The sequence below is a fragment of the Homo sapiens genome, chromosome 2, assembly GCF_000001405.40.
Source record: "Homo sapiens chromosome 2, GRCh38.p14 Primary Assembly".
Classification (NCBI taxonomy): domain Eukaryota; kingdom Metazoa; phylum Chordata; class Mammalia; order Primates; family Hominidae; genus Homo; species Homo sapiens.
Window position 1 is genome coordinate 172,519,991 of NC_000002.12, and position 20,315 is coordinate 172,540,305.

At 45.0% G+C, this 20,315-nt stretch overlaps 1 long non-coding RNA gene across 23 annotated transcripts in view, besides 2 other annotated features; it reads right to left on the bottom strand.

The window, feature by feature from the left end:
- The window catches only part of PDK1-AS1 (PDK1 and ITGA6 antisense RNA 1), a 92,199-nt gene that overhangs the window by 55,725 nt on the left and 16,159 nt on the right, over positions 1 to 20,315 (bottom strand). The window lies entirely within an intron of this gene.
- Positions 12,811 to 13,105: a silencer, noted in NCBI's record as "tiled region #994; HepG2 Repressive non-DNase unmatched - State 22:ReprW". NCBI's record gives its function as "represses a minimal TATA promoter and a strong SV40 promoter by Sharpr-MPRA in HepG2 cells {active_cell/tissue: HepG2}" and the evidence as "EXISTENCE:reporter gene assay evidence [ECO:0000049][PMID:27701403]".
- Positions 14,960 to 15,460: an enhancer, noted in NCBI's record as "H3K27ac hESC enhancer chr2:173399678-173400178 (GRCh37/hg19 assembly coordinates)". NCBI's record gives its function as "activates a minimal SCP1, AML or CMV promoter by ChIP-STARR-seq in primed H9 embryonic stem cells {active_cell/tissue: H9 hESC(primed)}" and the evidence as "EXISTENCE:reporter gene assay evidence [ECO:0000049][PMID:30033119]".

Sequence of the window (20,315 nt, forward strand, 5' to 3'; positions counted from 1 at the left end):
CCAGAATGCGGGGTCTCAAAAATATCTCAAACACCAGTATTAGGTTTTACAACAGTGATGTTATCTCTAGGAGCAACTGGGGAAGTCGGGAATCTTATGGACTCTATGGACTGCGACCTCCAGGTTACATGTAGGTTCTAAGTTATACTGAGGGCTTAAGAAATACCCTGTGAGACGTGGGCCATGAAGTCTGCATCACTGTCACTCTAGATGAAAACCACTGTTCCAAACCAAGGAATTATTTCTTTTATTAAGGCCTTAATGCTTCAGAAGCTCTTTTTGTCCAACAAAGAAAAGCCTCAACCCAAGGTATCCACAAACAAGAGTAGGTATTTCAAGTTACCTGCTATCCTTGACATCATAATAAAATCAATTTGCCAGTTCTCTGTTGTTCCTTCACCCCCGGTCTGAATTCCTGTGTTAAGTGGGGAGGGCTAGTTTTTGGGTTGTTCTGGGTACAGAAGAGACATTTTTCTATAACCTTCTGAATGGTCCTGTTTATATGTGAACCAGAAACATATTTTTGTATCCATTGGAGAGTGGCATCCCTACCACACTGGGTGGAGTCATGAATACATTCAACAATGTCATTCCTAAAATATGCCGGTGCCAGAATTGTTTCTCTCTCATTGTATATCCATCCATCATGAGTCCTCTGATTGGGGTCAAAACCCCAATTGAGTGCTCTTTTTAGGTACTCATCTGAGTATATGGGAGGCTCAGGGCCACAATCTGTTTTAGGTAGCAAAGGTATCAATAGCATTTTGGGGACTTTATCCTTACTATTTTCTTCGTGGCCTCATCTATGCAATATTGTCCTTTGCCACCAAACTATCTGTCTGCCGTTGCCCAAGGCAATGTATTATAGTTACTTCCTGTGGGCTAAAATGGCATTTAATAGGACTAGAGTTTCTCTAGCATGTTTTGTTTGTTTTTAATTATCAGAGGTTAGTAGTCCCATTTTTTTCCAGATGGCCCCTTGAGCATGAAAAACAGAGAAAGCCTATCTAGAGTCTGCGTACATGGCCACTTGTGCTCTGTTACCTAGATGGAGGGTTCCAATGAGGGCTCTGAGCACCGTTTTCAGTGCTAATGTTCTGGAGGGCAATGCTCTGGCTTCTATAGTCTGTCAGTGGGTTACCACCACACACCTGGCTTTCTATTGTCCCTGGCCCATAAAGCTGTTCCTGTCAGTGAACATCTCTAGGTCTGGGCTGTCTATGGTTACGTCTGTCAGGTCTGGCCAGCAGGAATGAACTAATTCAACTGTTTGTAGATAATTGTGCGCAAGTTCAGATGGCATTTGATGAAGGAGGGGGCAGGATTTAGAGTAGAGATGGCCTTCAGCATTACATTTGAGTTGTCTGAAAGGATGACCTGATACCTGCAGAGTCTCCCAGAGGTCAGCCAGTATCCTCCCTTCTGTTCCAGCAAGGGGAGCACACAGTGGGTTGGGTGTACTGTGGTTGGCTGGCCTGATGTAAACTTTTCTGCTTCCTGGAGAAAGTCACAAGTGGCAGCAACAGCCCAAATGCAAGGAGATCATCCTTTTGTAACAATGTCCAATTGCTTTGAGAAACAAGCAATGGGTCTTTTAATATTTCCTAGGTCCTGAGTTAACACTCCTAGGCTTATTCTTGTCTCTCAAGCACAAAGAGATCAAAGTGCTGGGGCAGTCAGCAGTTTTCCTTTGATATCAAGGAAGGTCCTCTATCAGTCTCCAGTCCATTCTAGGGGTTCATTATCTCCTCCCCACAAAGCATTGTATAGAGGCTTTGCAATAAGTCCAAAATTAGAAATCCATATCCAGGAAAATTTGGCCATAACTAAGAAATCTCACAACTGTTGCCAGGTGGTTGGTCTGTCTGCCCTGGTGAAGGTGTCCTGCTGGTCAGGGACCAGGTTCTTCTGCCCTTGGGAGAGCTCGAACCCAAGATACTACTGCAGGCCGACAAATCAGAGCCTTTTTCTTGGATACCTTGTACCCTAGTTCAGCCAGAAAACTTAGATTCAATATAGTGTTTTGGTCAGACAACTCCTGTGTGGTACTGGCAATTAAGATGTCATCAGCATGCTGCAATAGAGTCCCACTCTTTAATTGCAAGTCTGGGAGGTCTTTAGCAAGAATTTCCCCAAAGATGGCAGGGGAGTTTTTAAACCCCTGAGGGAGAACTGTCCAACAATACTTTTACTGTGCTTTAGTATCTAGGTCTTCCCATTTAAAAGCAAACAGTTCTTGTGACTCAGGGCTCAGGGGGATGTAAAATAAGGCATCTTTTAAATCTAAGACTGTGAACCAACTGAGTTCACCATTTGGGGATGTGAGTAAAGTATAGGGATTGGGGGCCACCGAGTAGATATCTTTTACCATTGATTGATAGCCCTCAAGTCCTGAACAAATCTATGTTTCTTAGTCCCAGGCTTCTGAACCAGCAGAATAGGCATGTTACATGAGGACTAGCAAGGCCTAATGAGTCCAAACTGAAGGAAAGCACACAGCAGAGGTTTGATGTCCCTTCTCGCTTGTTGGCTTAACAGGTATTGTTTCAAGCATGGCTACGTTGTTCTTACCTGTACCTTCACTTGTACTGGATGGCTGTTCTGGCCCTTCCTGGTCTCCTATCTGCCCATGCTTCCACAGCAACCTGCAGGGCATAGGCTTGTTCTGGAGGGTACTAAAATATTTACTCATACTGGGCTGAAAGTAACTTTGGCATTTACTTTAGTTATGAGGTCATGTCACAGCAGAGGAATGGGGCATTCAGGCATATATAAGAAGCTGTGCTTCAGGTGGGTTGGCCCAGCTGATATTCTAAGGGTTGAAGGATGGTCTCGTTAAGGTTTCTCCCAAGACCCTGGTCACTTTAACAGTTTCTGAACAGTTTAGACAGCCAGGTATTTATCACCAAGTAACTAGCCTCAGTGTCCACCAAAAAGTCCAAAAGTTGACTTCCCACTGTCATCATGACCTGGGACTCTATGTGGGAATATGGAGGGTGTTGCTTGGGTCAGGAGGAACCCCAGGGCCCCATAATTCCTGGTCCTTATCCTAGGTATCTTTAACCTCAGACCTCTTGGCTATTTCAGGCATCTGGTGAACAGGGAGTGGGTTTTCCTTAACACTGTTCTTTTTACAATGTGGATAGTCTTTCCTCCAGCAGCCTATTAGCTTGCAATAAGTGCACTGCTTGGGACCTACAGTGGGGTGTCACCCTTTGTTGGTCTGGGGCTTAGTAGGGGTCCTACCTGGGATGGAGCATCTGAAGGAGATTCACACTGTGGTCCTGGGGCCTCTCGAGTCAGAGCCACAGCCAGAAGGTTAGCCTGATGTTTCACCTTTCATTGTTCCTTTTAAAAAATTATCTGCACTGGCAAACGCTCTAAAGGCAATCTCCATTAACTGGGACAGGGACATACGCAGAGTCCCACCCATCTTCTCCAACTTTCTCCAAATGCCGGGGGCACTTTGGCTGATAAAGGTCATATTTACCATCTGTCGGTACTTCTAGATCATGTCTGTATACCACCTACCCACTTTAAACACCCATTCCAAGAATTCTGAGGGGCTCTCATTAGGTTTCTGCCTAACTTCCTGAAACTTATTAAGACCTTTCTAGGCTGGACGCAGTGGCTTACACCTGTAATCCCAGCACTTTGGGATGCTGAGGCAGGTGGATCACCTGAGGTCAGGAGTTCAAGACCAGCCTGGCCAACATGGTGAAACCCTGTCTCTACTAAAAATACAAAAAATTAGCCAGGCGAGGTGGTACATGCCTGTAATCCCACTTACTCAGGAGGCTGAGGCAGGAGAATCACCTAAACCCAGGAGGCGGAGGTTGTAGTAAGCTAAGATTGTGCCATTGTACTCCACCCTGGGCAACAGAGCAAGACTGTCTCAAAAAAACAAAACAAAACAAAACAAAAAACCTTTCTGTTTCAGCACTACTTTGCAGAGGCCAGCCAGAATACAGCTGCAGTCTTGGTAAGACTAAACCTTGATAAAGCCTTCTCCATTTATGTTCCACTCCCGGTCTAAGGTGGGTACAGCCACCTGTGCAGCCATTCTTACCAGGTTACCTGGGACCTCGTGCATGAGACCAACCTCTTCTCTGGCCTTCCCTAGGACCATTCTCTGCTCCTCTGAGGTCAATAAAATGCAAAGGAAATTTTGTACATCTGCCCAAGGCGTGACTGGGTTGCAAATATCAAGAAAAAATCTTCCATCCTCCTCAGATTCTCCAAGTACGTGGGTACGTTATTTTTCCAACTAAACTAATTGAAGGTGGAAATGGAGAGTAGACCCAGATAAGCCCCATTGGCTGACCTGTGACAGCATCAATGCTCCCCTATAGGAATCTGCTGAAGAGGGAATTGCCTTCCCTGAGCTAGAGGGGCACTCTGGCCAAATTTGGTTTCCTGTCAGAGGTGTGGGGGTAGACCATTCCTATTGCTCCTGGCTTCTATTCCTGCAAAGGTGGGGAGATCACAGAAGATGGGGAGATCAGGGAAGATGGGGACCCCAGCTCAGGTGCTCATAGAGCAGCCCCAGCCGCCATAGGTAGGAGGAGGAACTGAGGGCTCATTTAACCTAGCAATCAAAATGTCATCATCTTTTTCATGTGACTCAAAAAAACAGGATTTTTTCTACTGCCAGTTAGTTGGGCCACAACCTTACACCTTTACTGCATTGGTTTATTTTGCCTAAGTGCCATGAAACACTGTACATAGGAGGTCCCATCCCATTTCTCTTTCCCTTTACAATACAAATCTAACTCCAAGATTCTGTGGTGACAAACAGAACCCTGACAAGGCCATCATGCATTCTTAATCCCACAGGAAACTATGGCCAAGTTGTGTTACAGAGAAAACAAACTGCTTATGGGTCAGTGGGTAATATCCCCAAAATTTCCACTTCTCGAGGATACATGCCAATGGGCTCTCCACCAGTATAGCAGACATTTGGGTCCCCACACTTCTGTGTTTTTATCACAACTTTGTCTCCAATCTTCAAATAAGAGCCTCCAGTGGTTTGCAGGGACACCCCATCCATCAGATCAAGCCCAAAACAAGTTTTCCATTTTCTTGGCCTGACAGGAAGCCCAATATGCCGGAGGGTGAACTTGATGGCTTTCCCATGGGTCAAAGAAAACAGCACATTAAGAGCAGGTGCAGGCATACAAGACGGATTGAGGTATTTCCCTGTTGCAGGAAGTCTGGGACCCCAAATGGAGGGACCGGCTGAAGCCACAGCAGAAGAACATAAATTGTCAAGATTTCAAGGACATTTATTAGTTCCCCAAATTAATACTTTTATAATTTCTTACGCCTGTCTTTACTGCAATCTCTGAACATAAATTGTGAAGATTTCATGGACATTTATCACTTCCTCAATCAATACTCTTGTAATTTCCTATGCCTGTTTTTACTTTAATCTCTTAATCCCATCATTTTTGTAAACTGAGGATGTATGTTGCCTCAGGACCCTGTGATGATTGCGTTATCTGTACAAATTGTTTGTAAAACATGTGTATTTGAACAATATGAAATCTGGGCACTCTGAAAAGGAACAGGATAACAGCGATTTTCAGGGAACAAGGGAGATAACCATAAGGTCTGACTGCCTGTGGGGCTGGGCAGAACAGAGTCATATTTTTCTTTTTACAGAAAGCAAATAGGAGAAATATCACTGAATTCTTTTCCCAGCAAGGAATAACCCAGGGAAAGGACTGCATTCCCAGGGGAGGTCTACGGACTGCCACTCTGGGAGTGTCTGCCTTATGCAGTTGAAGACAAGGGATGAAATACGCCCTGGTCTCCCGCAGTGCCCTCAGGCTTGCTAGGATTAGGAAATTCCAGCCTGGTGAATTCTAGTCAGACAGGTTGTCAGCTCTCAAACCCTGTTTCCTGTTAAGATGTTTACCAATGACAATGCATGCCCAGTGGGACATGGAACCTTATCAGTAATTCTAATTTCGCCCTGGCCTTGTGATCTTGCTCTGCCTCTCTGCCCTTGTGATCTTTTATTGCCCTTTGAAGCATGTGATCTTTGTGACTTACTCCCTGCTCGTACCCCTCTCCCCTTTTGAAATTCCTAATAAAAACATGCTGGTTTTGCGGCTCACAGGGCATCACGGAACCTGCCAATATGTGATGTCACCCCCGGAGGCCTAGCTGTAAAATTTCTCTCTTTGTACTCTTTCTCTTTATTTCTCAGACCGGCCGATACTTAGGGAAAACAGAAAGGACCTACGTTGAAATATTGGGGGCTGGTTCCCCCACTATAAAACAGCATATTAACAGCAGCTGCAGGCATACAAGAGGGATTGAGGTATTCCCCCAACTGCCACATAGCACCTTATAACCACCCTCCCAAAGTGGATTCTGGAACATGCGTTCCCACTCTTGATCTCACTATGGAAACCTCTTCACTGTCCAACAGTAGCCATAAGAGGGCGGGCGCAACCAAGGTGGGGGCCACAGTCAAAGCAAAGCAGCTACCACCCCACCACCCACACCTATCTACGGACAGGACAGGTTGAAAGAAACTCTCCAAAAATAAATTTTAGATTCCCAGAAAGGCAGAGAATACACACAGAACAGTACACAGACGTTAGTTTCTTTGCCAGGGCCCAAATATTGACCTGGCAAGACTAAAATTTGACCCCATTGGCCCCTATCATCTTTGATCCACTCAAGGTGGGGAGGGATGACCTCTGACCAAGAATTCAATTTGTTAGTATTACAAAGCCGGTCTGATTCCCAGGTAAGAAGGAGATTTAGGGAAAACACTATATCATCTTTGTTTCAAAGCTAAACTATAAATTCCTCCTATAGTTATCTCAGCCTATGCCCAGGAATGAACAAGGGTGGCTTGGAGGTTAAAGGTAAAATGGAGTTGGTTATGTTAGATCCTTTTCACTCTCTTTTGCGTGCATGTGTGTGTGTGTGTGTGTGTGTGTGTGTGTGTGTCCTCTAGCTACATAAATCCTAAACCTGGGTTTGTTTTTTTTTATACTTTTAAGTTCTAGGGTACATGTACAAAATGTGCAGGTTTGTTACATATGTAGACATGCACCATGTTGGTGTGCTGCACCTACTAACTCGTCATTTACATTAGGTATATCTCCTAATGCTTTCCCTCCCCACTCCCCCCACCTCACGACAGGCCCTGGTGTGTGATGTTCCCCTTCCTGTGTCCAAGTGTTCTCATTGTTCAATTCCCACCTATTAGTGAGAATATGTGGTCTTTGGTTTTTTGTCCTTGTGATAGTTTGCTGAGAATGATGGTTTCCAGCTTCATCCATGTCCCTACAAAGGACATGAACTCATCCTTTTTTATGGTCGCATAGTATTCCATGGTGTATATGTGCCACATTTTGTTAATCTAGTCTATCATTGATAGAAATTTGGGTTAGTTCCAAGTCTTTGCTATTGTGAATAGTGCCACAATAAACATACATGTGCCTGTGTCTTTATAGCAGCATGATTTATAATCCTTTGGGTATATGCCCAGTAACGGGATGGCTGGGTCAAATGGTATTTCTAGTTCTAGATCCTTGAGGAATCGCCACACTGTCTTCCACAATGGTTGAACTAGTTTCTAGTCCCACCAACAGTGTAAAACTGTTCTTATTTCTCCACATCCTCTCCAGCACCTGTTGTTTCCTGACTTTTTAATGATCGCCATTCTAACTGGTGTGAGATGGTATCTCACTGTGGTTTTGATTTGCATTTCTCTGATGGCCAGTGATGATGAGCATTTTTTCATGTGTCTTTAGGCTGCATAAATGTCTTCTTTTGAGAAGTGTCTTTTCACATCCTTCGCCCACTTTTTGATGGGGTTGTTTGTTTTCTTGTAAATTTGTTTGAGTTCTTTGTAGATTCTGGATATTAGCCCTTTGTCAGATGAGTAGATTGCAAAAATTTTCTCCCATTCTGTAGGTTGACTGTTCACTCTGATGGTAGTTTCTTTTGCTGTGCAGAAACTCTTTAGTTTAATTAGATCCCATATGTCTATTTTAGCTTTTGTTGCCATTGCTTTTGGTGTTTTAGACATGAAGTCCTTGCCCATGCCTATGTCCTCAATGGTATTGCCTAGGTTTTCTTCTAGGGTTTTTTATGGTTTTAGATCTAACATTTAAGTCTTTAATCCACCTTGAATTAATTTTTGTATAAGGTGTAAGGAAGGGATCCAGTTTCAGCTTTCTACATATGGCTAGCCAGTTTTCCCAGCACCATTTATTAAATAGGGAATCCTTTCCCATTGTTGTTTTTGTCAGGTTTGTCAAAGATCAGATGGTTGTAGATGTGTGTTATTATTTCTGAGGGCTCTGTTCTGTTCCATTGGTCTATATCTCTGTTTTGGTACCAGTACCATGCTGTTTTGGTTACTGCAGCCTTGTAGTATAGTTTGAAGTCAGGTAGCGTGATGCCTCCAGCTTTGTTCTTTTGGCTTAGGATTGTCTTGGCAATGCGGGCTTTTTTTTGGTTCCATATGAACTTTAAAGTAGTTTTTTCCAATTCTGTGAAGAAAGTCATTGGTAGCTTGATGGGGATGATGGCATTGAATCTATAAATTACCTTGGGCAGTATGGCCATTTTCACGATCTTGATTCTTCCTATCCATGAGCATGGAATGTTCTTCCATTTCTTTGTGTCCACTTTTATTTCGTTGAGCAGTGGTTTGTAGTTCTCCTTGAAGAGGTCCTTCACATCCCTTGTAAGTTGGATTCCTAGGTATTTTATTCTCTTTGAAGCAATTGTGAATGGAAGTTCACTCCTGATTTTGCTCTCTGCTTGTCTGTTATTGGTGTATAAGAATGCTTGTGATTTTTGCACATTGATTTTGTATCCTGAGACTTTGCTGAAGTTGTTTATCAGCTTAAGGTTATTTTGGGCTGAGACAATGGGGTTTTCTAAATGTACAATCATGTCATCTGCAAACAGGGACAACTTGACTTCCTCTTTTCCTAATTGAATACCCTTTATTTCTTTCTCCTGCCTGACTGCCCTGGCCAGAACTTCCAACACTATGTTGAATAGGAGTGGTGAGAGAGGGCATCCCTGTCTTGTGCCAGTTTTCAAAGGGAATGCTTCCAGTTTTTGTCCATTCAGTATGATATTGGCTGTGGGTTTGTCATAAATAGCTCTTAATATTTTGAAATATGTCCCATCAATACCTAGTTTATTGAGAGTTTTTAGCATGAAGGGCTGTTGAATTTTCTCAAAGGCCTTTTCTGCATCTATTGAGATGATCATGTGGTTTTTGTCTTTGGTTATGTTTATATGCTGGATTACGCTTATTGATTTGCGTATATTGAACCAGCCTTGCATCCCAGGGATGAAGCCCACTTGATCATGGTGGATAAGCTCTTTGATATGCTGCTGGATTCAGTTTGCCAGTATCTTATTGGGTATTTTTGCATCAATGTTCATCAGGGATATTGGTCTAAAATTCTTTTTTTGTTGTGTCTCTGCCAGGCTTTGGTATCAGGATGATGCTGGCCTCATAAAATGAATCAGGGAGGACTCCCTCTTTTTCTATTGATTGGAATAGTTTCAGAAGGAATGGTACCAGCTCTTCCTCAAACCACTGGTAGAATTCGACTGTGAATCCATCTGGTCCTGGACTTTTTTTGGTTGGTAGGCTATTAATTATTGCCTCAATTTCAGAGCCTGTTATTGGTCTATTCAGGGATTCAACTTCTTCCTGGTTTAGTCTTGGGAGGGTGTATGTGTCCAGGAATTTATCCATTTCTTCTAGATCTTCTAGTTTATTTGCGTAGAGGTGTTTACGGTATTCTCTGATGGTAGTTTGTATTTCTGTGGGATCGGTGGTGATATCCCCTTTATCATTTTTTATTGCATCTATTTGATTCTTCTCTCTTTTCTTCTTTAATCGTCTTGCTAGAGGTCTATCAATTTTGTTGATCTTTTCAAAAAACCAGCTCCTGGATTTATTGATTTTTTGAAGGGTTTTTTGTGTCTCTATCTCCTTCAGTTCTACTCTGATCTTAGTTATTTCTTGCCTTCTGCTAGCTTTTGAATGTGTTTGCTCTTGCTTCTCTAGTTCTTTTAATTATGATGTTAGGGTGTCAATTTAATATCTTTACTCTCTTCTCTTGTGGGCATTTAGTGCTATAAATTTCCCTCTACACACTGCTTTAAATGTGTCCCAGAGATTGTGGTATGTCCCAGAGATTGTGGTATGTGTCTTTGTACTCACTGGTTTCAAAGAACATCTTCATTTCTGCCTCCATTTCGTTATGTACCCAGTAGTCATTCAGGAGCAGGTTGTTCAGTTTACATGTAGTTGAGTGTAAACCTGGGTTTTTGAAGGATAAAAACCTCTGGGCGAGATGCAAGAGCAACGGTCACCCTGAGTTAGGCCTGCTGGACTTCTCTCAGCAATTCCTTCAGGGATCCCCTCCATATATGTAAATATACAACAAAGTAATGACAAAGAGAAGGCTTTCCAAACCACAATTCCAGACCAGATTTCAAACCAGAAGAGCATTTCTTTAAACATGTTCCTTATTCTTCATCCAGCTGGGGAGAGATTGCCACAGACTGAGACTCTTCTTACAATTCCAGGAAGAGCTGGCTAGTCCCTGTGATGGGGACACAGGTAAATCTAGAGAGGTCAGAAGATCAGGAGAACAAAGAAGGTTTTGGCAGCACCTGGAATACTCACCAAACCAGGTTATAAGATGTCTTTGAGGAACTATGTCTCCATTGCAATTAGATCCTTGCACTCTGGGTTGGCAGCAGCCTGCCGGCAGAGACAGCACCAGAGGCAGCCCTTAGTCCAAGAGAACTAAGCAGCCACTTGGATTGGCCTGTGGACCTGAAACTGGTGAGGAACTGCCAAACCATAAACAGATGTCCACAAGAGGTATCCCAGACGATCTCCCAGATTTGTAACTGAACACTGGATTCTCCTTGCCCACTGCCCACATAAAGACAATTTATCAAGACAAGGGAATCGAATAAGGAAAGAGTTTAATGCACACAGAGCTGGCTAAAGGGGAGAATTGTTTTATTACTCAAATCAGTCTCCCCCAAAATTCAGAGATGGAGTGTTTAAAGATAATTTGGTGGATAGGGAGTTAAGGAGTGGGAGGGCTGATTAGATGGGTTAGAGATAAAATCATAGGAGGTTCCAGGTGGGTTCTTGCCATCCTGTTCCTGGGTGGGATCATAGAACTGGGTGAACCAGATTACTGATCTGGTTGGTGCCAGCTGGTGCATCAGAATACAGGGTTTCAAAAATATCTTGAACACTTTTACAAACACTGATGTTATTTCTAGGAGCAACTGTGGAAGTCAGGAATCTTGTGGCCTCTAGCTACATAACTCCTAAACCTAACCTTGTGGCTAATTTGTTAGTCTTACAAAGATGGTCTGGTTCCCAGGCAAGAAGGAGATTTCTGTAGGGAAAGCTCTATTATCATCTTTGTTTCAAAGTTAAACTATAAACTAAATTCCTCCTGTAGTTATCTCAGCCTACGCCCAGGAATGAACAAGGGTGGCTTGGAGGTTAAAGGTAAAATGGAATTGGTTATGTTAGATCCCTTTCACTCTCATAATTTTTTTAATTTGAGACAGAGTCTTACTCTATCACCTAGGCTGGAATGCAGTGGTGTGATCTCAGCTCACTGCAACCTCCGTCTCCTGGGTTCAAGTGATTCTCCTGCCTCAGCCTCCCAAGTAGCTGGGATTACAAGCATGCACCACCAAGCCTGGCTAATTTTTGTATTTTTTTAGAGATAAGGTTTCACCATGTTGAGAAGGCTGGTGCTGAACTCCTGACTTCAAGTGATCTGCCCACCTCAGCCTCCCAAAGTGCTGGGATAACAGGCGTGAGCCACTGCCCACTCTCATTTTTGCAAATGCAGTTTTAACTTAATCATTTTCAGCTGGCAATTTCCAGTGACTGCCTCAGAACTCCCTAGCTGGGTTATTATTTTAGAAATGATTCTCAGTGGTACAGCCTAGAGACCATTTTAGTCTATTTTGTTTACATTTAATCAATCTCCTTAATTAAATCTCTTCATGCCAATAATATCTACAGTGGTTTCTATTTTATGCATCAAACTCTGACCAATATGGCCATCCACCCAAAGAAAATGTTATAAGATCTGGGAAATTGAAAGAGAAAATATGTAGACAAAAGGTAATGTTGCCTTCTTCCAGCTAATTCTGAATTCAAAGTACTTTTACTGCTTTTAAGATCAACTTGATTATTCAAGATATGTCCAATAAGTTCATATCGCAGTGAATTCTGTTTCTTCTTTTTTCTAAATCTCTAAGAAGGGTGAAAATATGCGTGTACATTACTTAACTAAAAAATAATAAATGGGGTCAGGCCGAGTGGCTCATGCCTGTAATCCCAGCACATTGGGAGGCAGGCAGATCATGAGGTCAGGAGTTCAAGACCAGCCTAGCCAATATGGTAAAACCCCCTCTCTACTAAAAGTGCAAAAATTAGCAGGGTGTGGTGGTGCATGCCTGTAGTCCCAGCTAGTCAGGATGCTGAGGCAGCAGAATCACTTGAACCTGGGAGGCAGAGGTTGCAGTAAGTCGAGATCGCACCACTGCACTCCAGCCTGGGCAACAGAGCAGGACTCCATTTCAAAAAATAAATAAATAAATAAATAAATAAATAAATAAATAAATAAATAAATAATAAAAGAGACAGGGTTCAGGACATACCACCTTAAAAACTGACTGTAGGAGAATACAGCACTCTAAATTTACCTTGTTAGCATAAAGATTATTTTGAGCTGATTATTTTGCAAAACAGCAGAAACAAGGGAAGCTCTGAAAACAGAGATGTTACCCTTTTGTAAGAGAATTTATACATCTGTAAAGGAAATCGCCATTTGTAAGGACAGCTTCCTCTCTGCATTCTAAAATCACTTGAAACTAATCAATGAAGAAGGCATTGGCATAAGTCTACACAACAAACCTTGCTCTTGTTTACCAGGATTTTCCTGGCCATTATGTCATAATTGAGTCTCCTCCACACCATTGATTTAATTCAGAAAACCATAGTATTTAAGCCTGAAGTGAAAGTCACCTCTTAGAGATTTACCCATTTCTCTGGATTATCTCCCATGTATATAGGAGATGTATGTGTTAATAAACTTCCGTGTGTTTTACTCTTGTTAATCTGTCTTTTGTTCCTGGAGTCTGGGAACTCCCATCAAAAGAAGCAATCAGGAAATGAGAGGAATAAAAGTAAAGTGTAAAGAATCATTATTCTTCAAGTTTTAAAGAATGTCACATTTCGTGAATTGAAATGTGGTTATTAAATCCCACCAACAAATTCCAGAAAAATTTAAAAATCTTCAGTTAGTAGAAATGTGTAAGTACAATAAAAGAAAGTATTTCCAGTGTGCAGAATATCAAAATTGGTGATGAATGGGTATGGTTTTTATTTGCCTAGCAGCCTGTGATGCAGTGTGTGTGTGTGTGTTTGTGTGTGTGTGTGTGTGTGTGTGTGTGAGCTGCCTCTCTACTTATTCCCAGTTTCCAGGAGTGGAAACATGGTCCAACCCCAGCCAAAGAGAGACTATCCTGGCGCTTTTCAAAACTGACTTGGAAAGAAGTGCTCACTACCAAGGTTTTGCTCAGCTAGGACTACTGAAGCCTGGTGCTACTCTGTCCATCCGTCATTATGAGGAAAGCAGACACCAAGGAAAGCAGAGCTGAAATAAGGAAAGGAAGCAAAGTGAGGGCAGTACACATTCTGGTGCTTTAGGTCCAACATAACTGAAGAATTTCCAGTGACACTGATAGCACAGGAGTCAGATAAATGCCTAGGGAGATGGGGTGGGTTGCGGGGAAACCCCACCATCATGACAAAGACAGTTTAAAGCCTGAAAGCCAAGCCACAAGTCAAACCCACAGACTGGATTGAGAACCTGTCTTCCCACTTGGTGCACTGGCCTCTGATCACCAACCTTCAACTATTTTACATATACTTACCCTTCCCCAATTGGTTTTTTACACAGCCATGCACACCTTTGAGTGATGCCTTTGTTTTGAACTTTTTGCATACTCACAAAACAATCAGCATGCACTCCCCTATTCTGAGCCCATAAAAGCCCCAGACTCAGCCACACTGGGAGAGAAACCACCCAATTTGGGGTGGGGTACCACCCCTGCATCCCCTCTGCACTGAGAGCCATTATGTTGCTCAGTACAATTCTTCTACACCCTCCTCACCCTTCAATTGTCAGAATATCCTCATTCTTCTTCAATGCAGAACAAGAACTCGGGAACCACCAAATGCAGGTATGAGCTATAACACAGCCATATGTGCAAGTCAGGCACAGACTGGGTGCGCTGAGGGGGCAGGTCACCTCCTGCAGCAGGTAGTATGCCCAAACGAGGCCTGGGTGGGGGGGGGGGGGGGTCACCAACAGGAGGTCCCTGCTGGCAAAATGACTGAGAAAAATCCTGCATCATTTTCTGGAAGCTCATCCAGGATCATCAGAAGGGTGAGTAAATGTGGACCTATGATGCTTCTCTTTTTCCCAAGGTTTCTCATCCTCAGACTATCTTCTGAAGGCAGATGAAGCACCAATCCTCTGATTAGCCAATTAAGGGCAAATGGTGCAGCTACAGAGCAATGCTGGGGAGGAACCTGCCACACTCACCCCTGCTCTGTTGCACTCGGGTGTAGGGAATCCTGGCTTTTTTTCCCTTCACAAAGGTCTTGCCATCATCAGGGATCAGAATAAGGTCCTGGGGCAACTGAAGGCATCCAGCCAAGGGCACACCTTGATGTTGCCTGAAGTTCCCAGACCAGCTCCAGTTCCCAACCACCTGTTAGGGTGTCAACCAAGACTTTGCTGTGGCATTTCCCTTCTTTCTTTCATGGATTGTAATGGCTCCTATCTCTTCTTTTATAACATTAAGGGTGCTGTTGCAAACTACAGAGATATTACTGGGTAGGATGGGTACATGGCCCAGTCATAAAAATGTAATTCAGAACAATGTGGTTTCCATCTATTCTTGGAGGCAGCGAGGAGGCAGTGATTAAGAGTTTTTTTTCCCCATTGAAGGAACTCATTTGCATAAGAGCAAGAGGCTTTTTCCTCCAGGTGCCTACCCTTTCCTTGACTTAATCTGTTTTTTTTTTTTGTCGTTGTTTCACCATGTCAGGAGTTAACACAGACCTGCAAATACAGAGAGCTTTCCTATGCGAGAGGTTTTTTTTTCTTTCTTCCTTTTGGGAGGCACCTTACTGGGCCACATCCCCAAATCTTGGGACTCCCTTTCTCTCCCTTGTTAGAGGAGGATGTGGTTCCACAGCTTCACCTTAGCAGTCTGCAGAGAAACAATGGCAGAGAAACAATGGAGGAATGGCCCAGGCTGCCACTGCCAGTCACTGACTGCAGTTTTGCAAGGCCCACATGGGAGTCAATTTAATGAGTCCATGCACCCTCCCGGGGCACTTTGTTATCCCAAACTCAATTCCAACCTTCAGGTTGAAGCCCCAGAAAAGAAAACTAGGTCTTAGATCAGACAACAGCAGAAGTCTAGGGGCACAGCACAGGCAAGTACGACTAATTCCTGCCAATTAGGCACCTCCCCCCAGCTTCATGGAAGGAGGTTATGTGTGTATCCAAGGCATAAATGAGGTCTAGGGGACTCGAAGGTTACCAACAGCAAGAGGACAGGCCAGTGCAGATATTCCTACCCTCTAGGCTTCCCTGCTACATGGGTGAAGGCCATATTGGGACCCATGGGCAGCACCTGTCAAGGTTGGTGAAACGTGGGGCTACAAGGATGGAAGAAAAAAGGGGATGCACTTTTTTTCCTCTCCCACATGTACCCTGGGTACTTGCTGGAAAGAGAAATTAAGGGATGCCTTTTTCCCCTCTTTCCAGATGGGTAAAAACCATTTTCAGTCTGTACTTCTCTCCAGTGCATCCTGAATCATTGGAACTCCTTTGAAAAAAAAAAAAAAAAGCCTTTTTTCTGTTTCCTTGTCTGTCCTCCCTTTGTGGATGGTTAATCGTGTCTCCATACCACAGGAACCTCCCATTCACATGTATCCCCAAACTGGGATAAGTATAATTTCCCGAAACCTTAAACTGTTTGGCCTAAAAATGAACCAGGAAGAAATTACAGTTCTAACCGAAAAATCTCTTGAAGAAGGACAACATCTACAGTATGTAGATAACCTCTCTGTCTGCTTCCCCTTCACAGGACTCCAGATAGGACTCCATAGCTCAGGGGAAGGGAACTCAGAAATCTGACATGCTGGCAGAAGGGTAAAAGTTCTTACCAGTGACACTTCCAGCGTCCCTCTCTCTGTAAAAACAGGATGAATGAATGGTAAAACAAAAAAAGAAAAAGAAAAAGAAAAAAAAATCAATGTTTATATAATCTGTAAAGATTTGATTAATGGAAAAAAAGATTTGTGAGGCTAGTCTTAACCTGTAGCTAATCTGGTATACATTGTGTCTTTCTGTATAGTTCTGTCATAAGGTGGAATACCTTAGAATAAAACCTGGGCTTAGGATCCCATAAGCCTGCTGTTCAAGCAGGCCAGAAAACTGGATAGTTACAAACTTTGCTACAGGTCTCAGAAGAAAAACAAAAACAAAAACAAAACAACACTGGATGAGGTCTCCATCTTGTTTTACATCCCTGGGAGCTTAACCTTGTAACCACATGGAAGTATTTTCTCTTGCTCTCTGCCATTTTACAATGGCATCCCATGTTCAGTCCTGCCTTAGGGAATGAGTACTTTCTGGCTAATATCTGTGTGACTTTTTTTTTTTTCTTTTTGAGACAGAGTCTCACTCTGTCACCCAGGCTGGAGTGCAGTGGCATGATCTCGGCTCACTGCAAGCTCCGCCTCCTGGGTTCACACCATTCTCCTGCCTCAGCCTCCCGAGTAGCTGGGACTACAGGAGTCCACCACCACGCTCGGCTTATTTTTTGTATTTTTAGTACAGATGGGGTTTCACTGTGTTATCCAGGATGGTCTCGATCTCCTCACCTTGTGATCCGCCCGCCTCAGCCTCCCAAAGTGCTAGGATTACAGGCGTAAGCCACCGCGCCTGGCCCTATCTGTGTAACTTTTACATTGACTTATTCTGTTCTCATCCATCCACAACTTCTAGCTTCCTTTTTTAAATCTTCCTTTCTGCCTCTGCCTCTGCCTCTCCCTCTCCGTCTCCCCACGGTCTCCCTCTCCCTCTCTTTCCGCAGTCTCCCTCTGATGCCGAGCCGAAGCTGGACTGTACTGCTGCCATCTCGGCTCACTGCAACCTCCCTGCCTGATTCTCCTGCCTCAGCCTGCCGAGTGCCTGCGATTGAATGGTTTTCATATTTTTTTTGGTGGAGACGGGGTTTTGCTGTGTTGGCCGGGCTGGTCTCCAGCTCCTAACCGTGAGTGATCCGCCAGCCTCGGCCTCCTGAGGTGCCGGGAGTGCAGACGGAGTCTCGTTCACTCAGTGCTCAATGGTGCCCAGGCTGGAGTGCAATGGCGTGATCTCGGCTTGCTACAACCTCCACCTCCCAGCCGCCTGCCTTGGCCTCCCAAAGTGCCGAGATTGCAGCCTCTGCCCGGCTGCCACCCCATCTGGGAAGTGAGGAGCATCTCGGCCTGGCCGCCCATCGTCTGGGATGTGAGGAGACCCTCTGCCTGGCTGCCCAGTCTGGAAAGTGAGGAGCGTCTCTGCCCGGCTGCCATCCCATCTGGGAAGTGAGGAGCGCCTCTTCCTGGCCGCCATCCCATCTGGGAAGTGAGGAGCGTCTCTGCCCGGCGCCCATCGTCTGAGATGTGGGGAGTGCCTCTGCCCCGCCGCCCCGTCTGGGATGTGAGGAGCGCCTCTGCCCGGCCGCGACCCCGTCTGGGAGGTGAGGAGCGTCTCTGCCCGGCCGCCCCATCTGAGAAGTGAGGAGCCCCTCCGCCCGGCAGCCGCCCCGTCTGAGAAGTGAGGAGCCCCCCCGCCCGGCAGCCACCCCGTCTGGGAAGTGAGGAGCGTCTCCACCCGGCAGCCACCCTGTCCGGGAGGGAGGTGGGGGTCAGCCACCGCCAGGCCAGCCGCCCCGTCCGGGAGGGAGGCGTGGGGGTCAGCCCCCCGCCCGGCCAGCCGCCCCATCCGGGAGGGAGGTGGGGGGGTCAGCCACCCGCCCGGCCACCCGCCCCGTCCGGGAGGTGAGGGGCGCCTCTGCCCGGCCGCCCCTACTGGGAAGTGAGGAGCCCCTCTGCCCGGCCAGCCGCCCCGTCCGGGAGGGAGGTGGGGGGGTCAGCCCCCCGCCCGGCCAGCCGCCCCGTCCAGGAGGGAGGTGGGGGGATAAGCCCCCCGCCCGGCCAGCCGCCCCGTCCGGGAGGTGAGGGGCGCCTCTGCCTGGCCGCCCCTACTGGGAAGTGAGGAGCCCCTCTGCCCGGCCAGCTGCCCCGTCTGGGAGGGAGATGGGGGGGTCAGCCCCCCGCCTGGCCAGCTGCCCTGTCCGGGAGGTGAGGGGCGCCTCTGCCCGGCCGCCCCTACTGGGAAGCGAGGAGCCCCTCTGCCCGGCCACCACCCCATCTGGGAGGTGTACCCAACAGCTCATTGAGAACGGGCCAGGATGACAATGGCGGTTTTGTGGAATAGAAAGGGGGGAAAGGTGGGGAAAAGATTGAGAAATCGGATGGTTGCCGTGTCTGTGTAGAAAGAAGTAGACAAGGGAGACTTTTCATTTTGTTCTGTATTAAGAAAAATTCTTCTGCCTTGGGATCCTGTTGATCTGTGACCTTATCCCCAACCCTGTGCTCTCTGAAACAAGTGCTGTGTCCACTCAGGGTTAAATGGATTAAGGGCGGTGCAAGATGTGCTTTGTTAAACAGATGCTTGAAGGCAGCATGCTCCTTAAGAGTCATCACCACTCCCTAATCTCAAGTACCCAGGGACACAAACACTGCGGAAGGCCACAGGGTCCTCTGTCTAGGAAAACCAGAGACCTTTGTTCACTTGTTTATCTGCTGACCTTCCCTCCACTATTGTCCTATGACCCTGCCAAATCCCCCTCTGCGAGAAACACCCAGGAATGATCAATAAAAAAATAAATAAATAAAAAAATAAATAAATAAATCAATAAAAAATAAAAAATAAATAAATAAATAAATCTTCCTTTCTGTGAGCCACATTTAGAGATTCTAGATTTTTAAAAAACTGCTTAACATCTCTTTGAAAATAATTCATAATACTTGTGGTTAAGTCATAACCTTAGTTGAGGTTTGTTAGTTTCACCTGTGAGGTTGCTTTTGGTAAAGTTCAAAAGCCAGAAATATTGGCGGCTTGACCAACTCAAGTAATAAGGGATTTGAAAATATTTTTTAAAAGAGCACCATGGTTAAAAGTCAGCTTATATTAAAAGTGGAGAGGCTGCGTGTGGTGGCTCACGTCTGTAATCCTAGCACTTTGGGAGGCCGAGGCGGGTAGATTGCATGAGCTCAGGAGTTTAAGACCAGCCTGGCCAACATGTCAAAATCCTGTCTCTACTACAAACACAAAAAATTAGCTGGGCATGGTGGCATGCACCTGTAATGTAAGCTACTTGGGAGGCTACCTCTTGAACTCAAGAGGTAGAAGTTGCAGTGAGCTGAGATTGTGCCACTGCATTCCAGCCTGAGCAACAGAGTGAGACTCTGTCTGAAACAAAAAAAAATTGGATATCCTAGCTATAGGTATATTTAAAACACCTTTATGTCTTTTTTTTCTCTTCTTGGATCTTGTTTGGTTGGAAAAAGGTTTTTGTCTTCTCAGTTGACTTAATTTTTTTTTCACTCTTAATGCACACATGAGAAGCCTAAGATAATTTCTGATAGCCTGGGATTCCTTGGGAAAAACAGAGAAGGCACCACAGAACCCATTTTGGGAAAAATGTTTTCCTCAGGGAACTCTAACTAATAATTAAAGTCAGATAGATCCCTCTCAAAATCTGTTTTTGTCTTCAAGCTGTACCTACTTATTAGGCCCTAGAAACGGCATGTTTTCCTACCGGTTTTTTGAAGAGCTCAACCCGAGTCCAGTAACCCAATTAGGAGATTGGCAAGTGAAAAATCTGTCAGGGCCAGGTGGCTGACACCTGTAATCCTGGAACTTTCAGAGGCTGAGGTGGGTGGATCACCTGAGGCCAGGAGTCTGAGACCACCGTGGCCAACACGGTGAAACCCCATCTCTACTAAAAATAGAAAAATTAGCTAGACATGGTGATGGGTGCCTGTAATCTCAGCTACTCAGAAGGCTGAGGCAGGAGAATCACTTGAACTCAGGAGGTGGAGTTTGCAGTGAGCTGAGATC